The sequence below is a fragment of the Homo sapiens genome, chromosome 1 (assembly GCF_000001405.40).
Source record: "Homo sapiens chromosome 1, GRCh38.p14 Primary Assembly".
Taxonomy (NCBI): domain Eukaryota; kingdom Metazoa; phylum Chordata; class Mammalia; order Primates; family Hominidae; genus Homo; species Homo sapiens.
In genome coordinates this window covers 159,397,027-159,413,381 of record NC_000001.11, presented here as the reverse complement: position 1 = coordinate 159,413,381, position 16,355 = coordinate 159,397,027, and the positions used below count along the sequence as shown (strand labels likewise).

Here is a 16,355-nt window from a genome sequence, read left to right as displayed (position 1 = left end):
GTGTCTTTATAGCAGCATGATTTATAGTCCTTTGGGTATATACCCAGTAATGGGATGGCTGGGTCAAATGGTATTTCTAGTTCTAGATCCCTGAGGAATCGCCACACTGACTACCACAATGGTTGAACTAGTTTACAGTCCCACCAACAGTGTAAAAGTGTTCCTATTTCTCCATATCCTCTCCAGCACCTGTTGTTTCCTGACTTTTTAATGATTGCCATTCTAACAAGTGTGAGGTGGTATCTCATTGTGGTTTTGATTTGCATTTCTCTGATGGCCAGTGATGGTGAGCATTTTTTCAAGTGTTTTTCTGGCTGCATAAATGTCTTCCTTTGAGAAGTGTCTGTTCACGTCCTTTGCCCACTTTTTGATGGGGTTGTTTGTTTTTTTCTTGTAAATTTGTTTGAGTTCATTGTCGATTCTGGATATTAGCCCTTTGTCAGATGAGTAGGTTGTGAAAATTTTCTCCCATGTTGTAGGTTGCCTGTTCACTCTGATGGTAGTTTCTTTTGCTGTGCAGAAGCTCTTTAGTTTAATTAGATCCCATTTGTCAATTTTGTCTTTTGTTGCCATTGCTTTTGGTGTTTTAGACATGAAGTCCTTGCCCATCCCTATGTCCTGAATGGTAACGCCTAGGTTTTCTTCTAGGGTTTTTATGGTTTTAGGACTAACATTTAAGTCTTTAATCCATCTTGAATTAATTTTTGTGTAAGGTGTAAGGAAGGGATCCAGTTTCAGCTTTCTACATATGGCTAGCCAGTTTTCCCAGCACCATTTATTAAATAGGGAATCCTTTCCCCATTGCTTGTTTTTCTCAGGTTTGTCAAAGATCAGATAGTTGTAGATATGTGGCATTATTTCTGAGGGCTCTGTTCTGTTCCGTTGATCTATATCTCTGTTTTGGTACCAGTACCATGCTGTTTTGGTTACTGTAGCCTTGTAGTATAGTTTGAAGTCAGGTAGCGTGATGCCTCCAGCTTTGTTCTTTTGGCTTAGGATTGACTTGGCGATGCGGGCTCTTTTTGGTTGCATATGAACTTTAGAGTAGTTTTTTCCAATTCTGTGAAGAAAGTCATTGGTAGCTTGATGGGGATGGCATTGAATCTGTAAATTACCTTGGGCAGTATGGCCTTTTTCACGATATTGATTCTTCCTACCCATGAGCATGGAATGTTCTTCCATTTCTTTGTATCCTCTTTTATTTCACTGAGCAGTGGTTTGTAGTTCTCCTTGAAGAGGTCCTTCACGTCCCTTGTAAGATGGCTTCCTAAGTATTTTATTCTCTTTGAAGCAATTGTGAATGGGAGTTCACTCATGATTTAGCTCTCTGTTTGTCTGTTATTGGTGTATAAGAATGCTTGTGATTTTTGTACATTGATTTTCTATCCTGAGTATTTGCTGAAGTTGCTTATCAGCTTAAGGAGATTTTGGGCTGAGAGAATGGGGTTTTCTAGATATACAATCATGTCATCTGCAAACAGGGACAATTTGACTTCCTCTTTTCCTAATTGAATACCCTTTATTTCCTTCTCCTGCCTAACTGCCCTGGCCAGAACTTCCAACACTATGTTGAATGTAAAGACCATCGAGGCTAGGAAGAAACTGCATCAACTAATGAGCAAAATAACCAGCTAACATCACAATGACAGGATCAGATTCACACATAACAATATTAACTTTAAATGTAAATGGGCTAAATGCTCCAATTAACAGACACAGACTGGCAAATTGGATAAAGAGTCAAGACTCATCAGTGTGCTGTATTCAGGAAGCCCATCTCATGTGCAGAGACACATATAGGCTCAAAATAAAAGGATGGAGGAAGATCTACCAAGCAAATGGAAAACAAAAAAAGGCACGGGTTGCAATCCTAGTCTCTGATAAAACAGACTTTAAACCAACAAAGATCAAAAGAGACAAAGAAGGCCACTGCATAATAGTAAAGGGATCAATTCAACAAGAAGAGCTAACTATCCTAAATATATATGCACCCAATACAGGAGCACCCAGATTCATAAAGCAAGTCCTTGGAGACCTACAAAGAGACTTAGACTCCCACACAATAAAAATGGGAGACTTTAACACTCCACTGTCAACATTAGACAGATCAACGAGACAGAAAGTTAACAAGGATACCCAGGAATTGAGCTCAGCTCTGCACCAAGTGAACCTAATAGACATCTACAGAACTCTCCACCCCAAATCAACAGAATATGCATTTTTTCAGCACCACACCACACCTATTCCAAAATTGACCACATAGTTGGAAGTAAAGCTCTCCTCAGCAAATGTAGAAGAACAGAAATTATAACAAACTGTCTCTCAGACCACAGTGCAATCAAACTAGAACTCAGGATTAAGAAACTCACTCAAAACCGCTCAACTACATGGGAACTGAAGAACCTGCTCCTGAATGACTACTGGGTACATAACGAAATGAAGGCAGAAATAAAGATGTTCTTTGAAACCAATGACAACAAAGACACAACATACCAGAATCTCTGGGACACATTCAAAGCAGTGTGTAGAGGGAAATTTATAGCACTAAATGCCCACAAGAGAAAGCAGGAAAGATCCAAAATTGACACCCTAACATCACAATTAAAAGAACTAGAAAAGCAAGAGCAAACACATTCAAAAGCTAGCAGAAGACAAGAAATAACTAAAATCAGAGCAGAACTGAAGGAAATAGAGACACAAAAAACCCTTCAAAAAATTAATGAATCCAGGAGCTGGTTTTTTGAAAGGATCAACAAAATTGATAGACTGCTAGCAAGACTAATAAAGAAAAAAAGAGAGGAGAATCAAATAGATGCAATAAAAAAAGATCAAGGGGATATCACCACCAATCCCACAGAAATACAAACTACCATCAGAGAATACTACAAACACCTCTACGAAAATAAACTGGAAAATCTAGAAGAAATGGATAAATTCCTTGACGCATACACCCTCCCAAGACTAAACCAGGAAGAAGTTGAATCTCTGAATAGACCAATTACAGGCTCTGAAATTGTGGCAATAATCAATAGCTTACCAACCAAAAAGAGTCCAGGACCAGATGGATTCACAGCCAAATTCTACCAGAGGTACAAGGAGGAACTGGTACCATTCCTTCTGAAAATATTCCAATCAACAGAAAAAGAGGGAGTCCTCCCTAACTCATTTTATGAGGCCAGCATCATCCTGATACCAAAGCCGGGCAGAGACACAACCAAAAAAGAGAATTTTAGACCAATATCCTTGATGAACATTGATGCAAAAATCCTCAATAAAATACCGGCAAAATGAATCCAGCAACACATCAAAAAGCTTATCCACCATGATCAAGTGGGCTTTATCCCTGGGATGCAAGGCTGGTTCAATATACACAAATCAATAAATGTAATCCAGCATATAAACAGAACCAAAGACAAAAACCACATGATTATCTCAATAGATGCAGAAAAGGCCTTTGACAAAATTCAACAACCCTTCATGCTAAAAACTCTCAATAAATTAGGTATTGATGGGACGTATCTCAAAGTAATAACAGCTATCTATAGCAAACCCACAGCCAATATCATACTGAATGGGCAAAAACTGGAAGCGTTCCCTTTGAAAACTGGCACAAGACAGGGATGCCCTCTCTCACCACTCCTATTCAATATAATTTTTAAAAAATTGGAAAAGCTGTCTTCAACATTTGAGCCATTAAAATAATGGAGAGACTTTATCATTATGGATAGATTAGAGATAGATAATACATGTAAAGTTAAGTGGTTAATTATCTTGATGGAAATGTATAGGTAGACTCCTCAAAGTTTGTGAAGATATAAAATCAATGGAAATGAATGACCAAAATCTCTTTGCAGCTGGTTGGAAGAGGCAGGTAAGTCTCAGTGAGAAATTGCAAAATAATGTATTAGAAAAAGAGAGTACGGAGTATGCTTAAAGCACAATGTTCTGACTTACTAATTAAAAAGAAAGTGGAATTTGATGCCACAATAGGCTATTCCTAAGTATACAGGCCTAAAAAGTTAAAAACAAAGCGGAGATGGGTTTAATCGGTGAGCAGTCAAAAGAAAAGAATCCTTATGCAAATCCTTGGTCAGCTTCATGCAGCGCAGGTAAATTTCTCATTCACACTACTGCAGAAGATTCAGAGAATAGCTGCGGAAATGCCCTGGTGAGAGTCTCAAGATCTCCAGTGTGCAAGTTATCTGATAAGAAGAGACTCTGAAGTCTACAGTAAAAGAAGCAGAGAAGGGATGTGATTCATTTAAATACAGTTACGAATGGAGTGCACAGAGCAATATAGGCTCATTCAGCTCACACAATACTAGGAAGTACATGACGGACATATCAAATTCATCATTTGTGTTTTGGAAAATCCCACACACCATGGTGCTTTTCAATCCCAGGGTCATAGCTTGGTTTCTCTTTCTTCCTTATAGCAGTTCCCAAGGACTCAGCCTCTTTAATGTTGCTATGAAGCACAAAGTCCTAGATCCATTCAGAACCACTCTTTTATTCCCTAAACATGACATAATAATCTTCTCTAATCATGATAATAATAATTATGGCCAAAATTTTTCGGGATGTTACTATTTGTCAGTCACCTTGCTCAATGATTTATGTATTGACTCATTTGAGCCTCACAATATTCTTATGAGTTAAGTACTAACATTACCCATTTTATAGATGAGGAACTTGTGTTACAGACAGGTTCAGACTTTGCCCAGGTGGAATGAGAATTTATCACCAGGCCTTCTTTTTTTTTTATTATTATACTTTAAGTTTTAGGGTACAGGTGCACAATGTGCAGGTTAGTTACATATGTATACATGTGCCATGCTGGTGCGCTGCACCCACCAACTCGTCATCTAGCATTAGGTATATCTCCCAATGCTATCCCTCCCCCCTCCCCCCATCCCCCAACAGTCCCCAGAGTGTGATGTTCCCCTTCCTGTGTCCATGTGTTCTCATTGTTCAATTCCCACCTATGAGTGAGAATATGCGGTGTTTGGTTTTTTGTTCTTGCGATAGTTTACTGAGAATGATGATTTCCCATTGCATCCATGTCCCTACAAAGGACATGAACTCATCATTTTTTATGGTTGCATAGTATTCCATGGTGTATATGTGCCACATTTTCTTAATCCAGTCTATCATTGTTGGACATTTGGGTTGGTTCCAAGTCTTTGCTATTCTGTTTCTGGGTCCTCCATATGTAACCACTGAGCTACAGAGATTCTCATGCTGCTTCATCTGGATCTTAGAAATGCTGGGCCCTCATACTTGATGCTGCCTGCAACATAAGCCTTATTCACTTTTCCTTTACTATCTTGGACAATACCTCCTTTATAGTATTCTTTGACCCTAAGACTGAGTTAGGAACCCTTCTTCATGTTTCCATATCATCCTACACTAAGCTCTATCATAGCACCCCTTACTCTCTACATTGTTACTCCCATTTACCTTTCTTTTCTATTGATGTTGTGAGTTATTTAACATCAGGGACTCTTTCCCATGCTTTATTCACTCAGTAAATAATTAACAAGAAACTAAAATGTACTAGCTATTGAATTCATAGACCTTGACACATAGTATGGGAATAAGAAATATTTGATGAATAAATAAATTAAGTAATGCTCTTCTTTGGGATTCTTCTCCCTTTAAGATCAGTTGTGAATTTTATCACTGATTTCATAGAGAAATATAAGAATTAACTACATAACCACATTGAATAAGTTATAAAATTGATTGTATTCATGCACAGTTTCTGTAATTACTGTCCTTTGTCTTTAGCTTCCAATTCTTTCTAAAATCATCATTGGAATTCTTCCTGGTTAAACACATCTCCTTTAATATCTCTGCTGATGGAATGTTTCAGATTTTATGTACACTTAGAGTACCATATAGCATTCACTAGGTGCCAGAGACTTTTCTAAGCACTTTGAGATATTAATGGATTTAATCCTCACAATGACTCTGTAAAGAAGTTGCTATCATTAAGCTCATTTTAGAGATAAAGCAATTGAGACACAGACAAGTTAAATAACTTGCCCACAGTTACATAGTTATGACCTGGTGGAACCAAAATTAAATTCTGGGCAGTGTGGCTTCAGAGTACATACTGCTTCCCATTACACTCTATTTCTTCTTTGAGCCATAACAATGGAAAATTGCATTTTGATACATTCTTTGTGAGAGATCACTTGGTAAAAATTTTATAGAGAAAAACATGGCACTCTATCAAAGTTGAAGATGCTCATAACTTTTGACTCTGCATTTTTTCACTACCTGTTATTCACTTATGTGTGAAATGACATCCTGACAAAGTTTTCTATTGCAGAAATGTTTGTTATGGTAACAACTGGAAAAAAAGACCAAAACATTGACCTCTATTTCCGAAAACATGGCCACTATTGTAGTTTGGGTGGCTCGCCCACAGCCTGGCCTTGCACTAGTCATCTAAAGGAGCAGAGCTAAGGAAAGTAATGCCCAGGACTCCAAATATTTGGGAAGAATGCTTGATCTGGGATCCTCCCAGGGCAGTCTTTGCTGGCAATTCATACTGATGGAAATGAATGGATTAAACCCAGATATTTATCAACATTCACTATCTCTGCCTCCTCATTGTGTCATCAAAGGCTCAGATTAAGGGTAAGCATAGAGGAAGCTGAAGTGCCTGGCCCATTCAACATTTTCTTCCTCTCTGACCTGGACCCACCTCTTTAATGGTCAAGTAGGGTAGCTGTTTTCTTAATTTTGTTGTTCACATTATGTTGAAATTTCCTTCCCTTTGATCTCTGCCCTTAATCCAGTAGGTCATTAGATGTCTCTTAGTTTATTCCCAAGAGTGCTGAGCTCTTGATCAGTAGAGGAACAAAGATAACCCCTGTGCCTGGAACATTATCTAAGGAATCCAAAAAACTGATGCTGCTCAGACAACTGTGTAATCTGTTACATAGTTGGAGCCTCACCTCTGTCTTTCCGTTGTCCATTTCCTTCAGATTTAGACATTCTTCAGTGCCAAGGTCAAAGTCCACTGCTGTGACTGAGCTCTTCTTTGAAGGTTTCTCCAGCTTCAGGTGACAGCACAGATTTGTCTTCTTTGTTGTCTTTCTAACTTTGTACCTGCTGACTGTCTCTGGCAATGTGATTATTGTGACCATTACTCGCCTGGACATTCACCTCCACACCCCCATGTACTTCTTCCTGAGCATTGCTGTCTATCTCTGAGACCTGCTACATGGTGGCCATTACTCCCCATATGCTTTCTCGCCTCTTGAATCCTCACTAGCTTATTGTCATGCAAGGCTGTGTCACTCAGCTCTTCTATGTGACTTTTGGCATCAACAACTGCTTTCTTCTCATAGCCATGGGATATGATTGCTATGTGGTCTTCTGCAACCCCTTACGGTATTCATAGGTAAGAGGGCTTGTGTCTGGCTGGGATCTGGGTCACTGAGGATTGGCCTGGGCATGGCTATTGTCCAAGTAACATCTATGTTTGGCCTGCCCTTTTGTGATGACTTTGTCATCTCCCACTTCTTCTGTGATGTGAGACCCCTGCTGAAGCTGGCCTGCACAGACACCACTGTCAATGAGATAATCAACTTTGTTGTCAGTGTCTGTGTCCTTGTCCTACATATTGCCCTGATCTTTATCTCCTATGACCTCATCATCTACACCATCCTTAAGATTGCTTCAACTGAGGGTAGGAAGAAGGCCTGTGCCACCTGCACCTCCCATCTCATAGTGGTCATCAGCCACTATGGCTATATTTCCATCATCTACCTGAAGCTTAAGTCCCAGAGTTTCCTGGGGCAGAACAGACTCATCTCAGTGACCTACACCATTATCACTCCCCTGCTGAACTCTGTCATGTAGATCTTGAGGAACAAGGAGCTCAAAGATGCTCTGTGCAGAGCCATGAAGAGGAAACTCTTCAACCCCCAGTGTATCAAGATTGTGATGGCCTCCCTTCATGTGCTTACTTCTCCAAAGTTTTGGCAGTCAGGAATATTGTGATTCTCCACAGTCCAGGGAGCCTCCTATGGGGCCTGCTCCTGGAATGTCATCACAGGTCCTGCCGAATAACACAAAAATGGAAGATTCATGTTGGATGCCTTGTAAAAAGCTTCAGATGTGTTATTCTATTTTGAGGCTAGGGAACCTTCAGAGGTGAAAATGGAAAGTGTTAATTTAGTTGTTCCTTATACAATTTCCCCCTTAGATCCACCTTTTTTCCTCATGTCTTTATTTGTTCACAAACTTTGGTATAAGTTTACTGGTTCCTCTTTCACTGGTGTAGGCATCACCCTCACCCTATGGAGCCCATGGTGAGCCATGAGTATATGCAGTTTCTCCTCGATAGTGCTACCTCATGTCTTGCACCACCATTATCATGGGGTATAAAAACGGGGAATTACCGTTTATCACACTGAAAACAAAGTTCTATATGTTTGTACATCGCTTTATAGTTTATAAGGAAGTTTCACATATAGGATTTCACCTGATCCTTAATGAACCCTATAGAGTAGGCTGGGAAACAATTATGTTATCATCCCTATCTTAGACCTGAAAATACTAAAGCACATATAGATAGAATTTATCTGCCCAGGCACACGAAACTAGACAGTTGTAGTGATAGGATTTGGATCTAGTTCTCTTATCATTGTCACTTGCTCTTTGTAATGAATGGAGTAACATGAAGCCGACACCTCTTGAGAAAAATCATGGTCTTCATTGGATAGTACAGGCAAGGCTGTCACTGTTCTATGAAGCGTGTCTACCCATTTTAGGGGAAAAAAGCATCTTCTCTAGACATTTCTGTTGAAAACTGCCATAATAATTTTACTGCCCTCTCGTAATAAATTATCACAAACCTATGATGTTTGAGCTGTAAATGATACTCCTGTATCATTTACAAATGTGGCACTGTCGCGCACTGCACAACCTGCAGAATCCTATGCTGCAATTCTGATGATGGGTGTGAAAAAGGATACTGGAAACAATAGGTGCCTAGTTCCTTTCCCGGAGTCTATATTCATTCCTGGATTGTCTAAAAGGTGGAAGACATTAAATTCTATTGCTGGCTGAAACACCTCCAGTTTCTCCAACTCAGGCCTTTTCAAGAGACTGTTCAAGTTATTTCAAAAGGTACAGTTATTTTTGACTATAGTCATCCTGTTGTGCTATCAAATAGTAGGCCTTATTTATTTTTTCTATATTTTTTGATACCCATTTACAATCCCCACCTCCCCCTCAAGCCGCCAGCTATACTTTTCAGCCTCTGGTTGCTCTCTATGCCCATGAGTTCAATTGTTTTGATTTTTAGATCCCACAAGTAAGTGAGAACATGCAATGTTTGTCTTCCTGTGCCTGGCTTATTTCATTTAATGTAATGATCTCCAGTTCCATTCATGTTGTTGCAAACGACTGGATTGCATTCTTTTTTTATGGCTGAACATTACTACATTGTGTATATGTACCACATTTTCTTTATCCATTCATCTATCGATGGACACTTAGGTTGCTTCCAAATCTTAGCTATTGCAAACAGTGCTGCCACAAACATAGGAGTACAATCTCTTCAGTATACTGATTTCCTTTCTTTTGTGTATATATCCAGCAGTTGGATTGCTGGATCATATGGTAGATTAATTATTAGTTTTTTGAGGAACCTCCAAAAAGTTCTCCATAATGGTTGTGCTAATTTACATTCACACCAGCTGTGTGCAAGTGTTCCCTTTTCTCCACATCCATGCCAGCATTTGCTATTGTCTTGTCTTTTGGATATAAACCATTTAACTGGGGTGAGATGATATCTCACTGTAGTTTTGATTTGCATTTCTCTGATGATCAATGACGTTGAGCACATTTTCATATGCCTGCATGCTATTTGTATGTCTTCTTTTGAGAAATGTCTATTCAAATCTTTTGCCTATTTTTGATCAGATTATTAGATTGTTTTCATATAGAGTTGTTTGTGCTCCTTACACATTTGGTTTATTAATCCCTTGTCACGTGGATCGTTTGAGAATATTGTCTTCCATTCTGTGGGTTGTCTCTTCACTTTGTCGAATGTATACTTTACTATGAAGAAGCTTTTTAACTTGATGTGATCCCATTTGTCCACTTTTGATTTGGTTGCCTGTGTTTGTGGGTTATTGCTCAAGAAATTTTTGCCCAGGTTAATAATGTCCTAGAGATTTTCCCCAATGTTTTCTTGTAGCAGTTTCATGGTTTGAGGCCCTAGATTTAAGTCTTTAATCCATTTTGATTTGATTTTTGTGCATGGTGAGAGATAGGGGTCTAGTTTAATCCTTGTGCATATGTATACCCAGTTTTCCCAGCACCATTTATTGAAGAGAGTCTTTTCCCCTAGTTTGTGTTCTAGGTACCTTTGTTTAAAATGAGTTCATTGTAGGTGTGTGGATTTGTTTGTGGGTTCTCTATTCTGTTCAATTCGTCTATGTGTTTGTTTTTATGACACTAGTATGCTGTTTTGGTTACTGTAGCTCTGTGGTATAATTTGAAGTCAGGTAATGTGATTCTTCCAGTTTTGTTCTTTTTGCTTAGGCTAGCTTTGGCTATTCTGAGTCTTTTGTGATTCCATATAAATTTTATGATTGGTTTTTCTATTTCTGTGGAGAATATCATTGGTATTTTTATAGGGATTGCATTGAATCTGTAGACAGCTTTGGGTACTATAAATAGTTTAACAATATTGATTCTTCCACCCATAAACATGGAATCTTTTTCCTTTTTTTGGTGTCCTCTTCAATTACTTTCATGAGTGTTTTATAGTTTTCATTATAGAGATCTTTCACTTCTTTGGTTAAGTTCATTCCTAGATAATTCATTTTATGTGTGGCTATTGTAAATGGGATTTTTTTTAAAAAATTTGTTTTTCACATCTTTGACTGTTGGCATATAGAAATGCTACTGATTTTTGTGTGTTCATTTTTTATCCTGCAAGTTTACTGAATTTGTTTATTAGTTCTAATAGTTGTCTTGTGAAGTCTTTAGGTTTCCCCAAATATAAGATCATAGCATCTGCAAAGAGGGATACTTTGGCTTTTTCCTTTCCAATTTGGATGCCCTTTATTTCTTTCTCTTGTCTGATTGCTCTAGCTAGGACTTCTAGTACTATACTGAATAACAGTGATGAAAGTGGGCATTCTTGTTGTGTTGCAGATCTTACAGGAAAGGCTTTCAGTTTTTCCCCATTCAGCTAGTATCATTCAGTATGGTACTAGCTGTAGGTCTGTCATATATGGCTTGTATTTCATTTTGGTATGGTCCTTCTATCCCCTGATTTTTAGGGGTTTTATCATGAAGGGATGTTGGATTTTATCAAATGCTTTTTTAAGCATCAGTTAAAATGATCATATGGTTTTGTCCTATATTCTTTTGATGTAATGTATCACATTGATTGATTTGCAAATGTTGAACCATTCCTGCATCCCAGGATTAAATCCCACTTGGTCATGATAAATGATCTTTCCAATGTATTGTTGGATTCTGTTTGCTAGTATTTTGTTGAGGATTTATGCATCAATATTCATAAAAAATATTGGCTTGTAGTTTTCTTTTTTTGATGTGTCTTTGTCTGGTTTTGGTATCAGGATAATGCTGGCCTTGTAGAATGAGTTTGACGTATTCCTTCCTCTTCTATGTTTTGGAATAATTTGAGTATGATTGGTATTAGTTTTTTAAATGTTTGGTAGAATTCAGCAGTGAAGCCATCAGGTCCTGGGTTTTCTTTCCTGGAAACTTTTTGTTATGGCTTCAATCTCATTACTTGTTATTTATCTGCTCAGGTTTTTTATTTCTTCTTGGTTCAATCTTGGTAGGTTGTATCTACCTAAGTATTTGTTCATTTCTTCTAGGTTTTCCAATTTATTGGCATATACTTGCTCATAGTAGCCACTAATCATCCTTTGAATTTCTGCAGTATCAGTTGCAATGCCACCTTCTTCATTTCTGATTTTATTTATTTAGAGCTTCTCTATTTTTTTCTTTGTTAGTCTGGCTAACGGTTTGTCAATTTTGTTTAACTTTTCAAAAACCCAACTTTTATTACATTGATCTTTTGTGTTTTGCAAATTTTAATCTTATTTATTTCTGCTCTAATCTTTATTATTTATCTTCTACTACTTTGGGGTTTGGTTTGCTCTTGCTATTCTAGTTCTATAAGATGCATTGTTAGATTGTTTTTTGAAGTTTTTTCTCTTTTTTTTTTGGTGCAGGCACTTATAGCTGAAAAATTCCCTCTTAGTACTGCTTTTGCTATATCCCATAGGTTTTGGTATGTTGTGGTTCCATTATTCTTTGTTTCAAGAAGTTTTCAATATTTCATTGACCCACTGGTCATTCAGGAACATATTGTTTAACTTTTATGTATTTGTATATTTTCCAAAATTTCTGATTATTCATTTCTAGTTTCATCCCCTTTTGGCCAGAGAAGATGCTTGATATTATTTAAATTTTTTGAATGTTTTAAGACTTGTTTTGTCACCTAATATATAGTCTATCCTTCAGAATGATCCATGTGCTGAGGAAAAGGATGTGTATTCTGCAGCTCTTGTATGAAATGTTCTGTAAATATCTATTAGGTCTATTTGGTCTATAGTGCAGAATAAGTCTGAGGTTTCTTTATGGATTTTCTGTCTGGAAGATCTGTCCAATGCTGCAAGTGGGGTACTGAAGTCTCCAGCTCTTATTGTATTGGGGCCTATGTTTTTCTTTAGCTCTAATAGTATTTTCTTTATATATCTTTTATATATTGGGTACTTTATATTTAAATTTTATGTAATAAATATATATTTAAATTTTATAAAATATTTATATTGAAAATTGTTATATCCCCTTGCTGAAGTGACCACTTTATCATTATATAGTGACACTCTTTGTCTTTTCTTATAGTTTTCATCTTGAAATTTATTTTGTCTTATATAACTATAGTGACTCCTGCTCTTTTTAGTTTTCCATTGGGATGGAATATCTTTTTTCATCCCTTTATTTTCATTCTATGTGTGTCTATAGGTGAAGTGTTTTTTGTAGGCAAAGATCAATGGATCTTGTTTTTTCATCCGTTCAGTCAGTCAATGTATTTTCACTGGAGAGTTTAGTCCATTCGCATTCAATGTTATTGTTGATAAGTAAGAACTTACTCTTTTTTTTAATTATTATTATACTTTAAGTTTTAGGGTACATGTGCACACTTACTCTTGCCATTTTGTTGTTTCCAGGTTGTCTTGTGATCTTCTCTTCCTTCTTTCTTTCATTACTATCTTTCTTTAGTAAAGATGATTTTTTCTGTTGATACAATTTAGTTTCTTCCTTTTTTATTTTTTGTGTATCTATTGCATATTTTTTGGTTTGAGGTTACATGAGGCTTACAAATGCTATCTTATAATCCATTATTTTAACTTGATAACAACTTAACACTATTTGCATAAACAAACAAACAAGCAAAAAGAAAACTAACAAAAACTTGCCTTAACTTTGTCCTCCCACTTTTTAACTTTTCATTGTTTCTATTTATATCTTATTGTACTGATTATGTCTTGAAAAGTTGTTGTAGTTATTACTTTTTATTGGTTCATCATTTAGTCCTTCTATTTAGTATAAGATTAGTTTACTTACACACAACAGTTACAGTGTTACAATGTTCTGTGTTTTTGTGTTTACTTGCTATTACCAGTAAATTTTCTATTTTCAGGTGATTATTTATTGCTCATTAATGTTATTTTCTTTCTGATTGAAATACTCCCTTCAGCATTTCTTTCTTTTTTTTTTTTTTTTTTTTTTTTGAGACAGAATCTCGCTCTATCGCCCAGGCTGGAGTGCAGTGGCATGATCTCTGCTCACTGCAAGCTCCACCTCCCAGGTTCACACCATTCTCCTGCCTCAGCCTCCTGAGTAGCTGGGACTACAGGTGCCCACCACGATGCCCGGCTAATTTTTTGTATTTTTTAGTAGAGACGGGTTTCACCGTGTTAGCCAGGATGGTCTCAATCTCCTGACCTTGTGATCTGCCCGCCTCAGCCTCCCAAAGTGCTGGGATTACAGGCATGAGCCATCGCGCCTGGCCAGAATTTCTTACAGGACAGACCTGGTATTAATAAAACCTCTCAGCTTTGGCTTGTCTGGAAAAGTCTTCATTTTACCTTCATATTTCAAGGATATTTTTGCTGGATATACTATTCTAGACTTAACAGTTTTTTTTTTCTTCAACATTTAAAATATGTCATGTTATTCTCTCCTGGCCTGTAATGTTTCCACTGAGAAGTCCACTGCCAGATGTAGTGAAGCTTAATTGTATGTTATTTGTTTTTTTTCTCTGACTGCTTTTAGTATCTTTTCTTTATTACTGATCTTTGGAAGTTTGATTATTAAATGCCTCGAGGTAGTCTTTGGGTTAAATCTGCTTCATGCTCTATGACCCTCTTGCACTTGCTATTGATATCTTTCTCTAGGTTTGGGAAGTTCTCTGTTATAATCCTTTTGAATAAACATTCTACCCCTACCTCTTTCTTTACCTCCTCTTTAAGGCCAGTAATTCTTACCATTTCTCAATAATAATTCTCTAAAATAGCCTTTTTGAGACTATTTTCTAGATTCTGTAGGCATACTTTATTGTTTTTTATTCTTTTTTCTTTTGTCTCCTCTGACAGTATATTTTCAAATAGCTTTTCTTCAAGCTCACTAATTCTCTCTTCTTCTTGATCCATTCTGCTATTGAAGGACTCTTATGCATTCCTCAGTATACCAATTGCATTTTTCAGCACTGGAATTTCTGCTTGATTTCTTAAAATTATTTCAATCTCTTTGTTAAATATATCTGATTGAATTCTGAATTCCTTCCCTGTATTATCTTGAATTTCCTTGAGTTTCCTCAACACATCTATTTTGAATTCCCTTTCTGAAAGGTCACATATCTCTGTTTTTTCAGGATTGGTCCCTAGTGCCTTATTTAGTTAATTTGGTAAGGTCATGTTTTCCTGGACAATGTTGATGGTTGATGCTAGTAGATATTCTTCAGTGTCTGGGAATCAAAGAGTAATGTATGTATTGTAATCTTCACTGTCTTGGCTTATTTGCAGCCATCCTTGAGAAGGCTTTCCAGATATTTGAAAGGACTTGGGTGTTGTGATTTAAGCTGTTTCTGCTTTAGGGGTCACCCTAAGCCCAATAATGCTGCCGTTCTTGCAGACTGTTGCTATGGTATTGCCTTGATGGTCTTGGGTAAGATTACCAGAATTCTCTGTATTACCAGGCAGAGATTCTTATTCTCTTCCCTTACTTTCTCCCAAACATACAGAGTCTCTTTCTCTTTTCTGAGCCACCTACAGCTGGGGGTGTAGTGACACAAGCACTCCTGTGGCCACCATCACTATGACTGCACAGACTTGAAGCCAGGATAGTGCTGGGGCTTGCCCAAGGCCTGCTGTAGCCAGTCCCTGGCTACTGCCTATGTTCACTCAAGGCCCTGGGGCTCTATAATCACCAGGCAGCAAAGACAGCCAGGCCTGTGTCCTTTGCTTTAGGGTGGCAAGGTCCCTCAAGCCCCAGGTGGGTCCAGAAGTGCCATCCAGGAGTCAGGGACTAGAGTCAAAAACCTTAGGAGACTATCTGGTATTCTATTATATTGCAGCTGAGCTGGCACGGAAACCACAAGACATAGTTCTTCCCACTCTTCCTTTCTTTTTCCAAAGGCAGAAGAATCTCACCCCCATAGCCCCCACCGCCCATGGCCATGAGGAGTACTGCCAGACTACCATCAATATTCCTTTAAGGCCTAAGATCTCTTAAGTTAGCTTGTGGTGAATGTTGTCTAGCCTGGGACTCACCCTTCAGGGTAGTGGGCTCCCCTCTGGCCCAGGGCAGGTCCAGAAATGCCATCCAAAAGTCCAGTTCTGGAATCAAGGACCCCCAAGATTCCACTTGGTGCTTTACCCTTTGTGGCAGTGTTCTTACCTAAGGTGCAAGAAAAAGTCCCCTTTACTTTTCCCTCTGCTTTTCTCAAGCAGAATGAGTTTTGCCCCATAGCCACCACAGCTAGTAACATGCTGAGTTTTACCTCAAGCCAGCAAGTCTCAGAGGCTCTCTAAGGCCCTCAGTGTAGTACGTGGGTATCACTGCTGGTTATTCAGGGCCCAAGGGCTCTTTATTTAGCAGTCAATGGATGCTGGCAGGACAGGGTCCTTTTCGTTAAGGCAACAGGTTCCCTTCTGGACCAGGGTGTGTCTAGAAATGTTGGCTGGGGGCTAGGGTCTGAAACAGGGGCCTCCTGACTGACTGGTGCCCTAACCTGCCGTGGCTGAGCTGGTGTCCAAGAAGCGAGACAAAGTCCT

At 38.1% G+C, this 16,355-nt stretch overlaps 1 protein-coding gene and 1 pseudogene across 2 annotated transcripts in view; one reads left to right on the top strand and one right to left on the bottom strand.

Moving 5' to 3' along the window:
* OR10J1 (olfactory receptor family 10 subfamily J member 1) overlaps nt 1-15,917 on the bottom strand; it is a 43,503-nt gene extending 27,586 nt beyond the window's left edge. For both annotated transcript variants that reach the window (NM_001363557.2, NM_001363558.2), the window contains exons 1-3: nt 15,852-15,917; nt 7,986-8,077; nt 6,969-7,135 (exon numbers count right to left, since the gene is read on the bottom strand). The gene's annotated coding sequence lies outside the window, so the exon portion shown is untranslated. The remainder of the gene's footprint in view (nt 1-6,968; nt 7,136-7,985; nt 8,078-15,851) is intronic.
* OR10J9P (olfactory receptor family 10 subfamily J member 9 pseudogene) lies at nt 6,974-7,960 on the top strand (annotated as a pseudogene).
* Nucleotides 15,918-16,355: the final 438 nt, after the last annotated feature.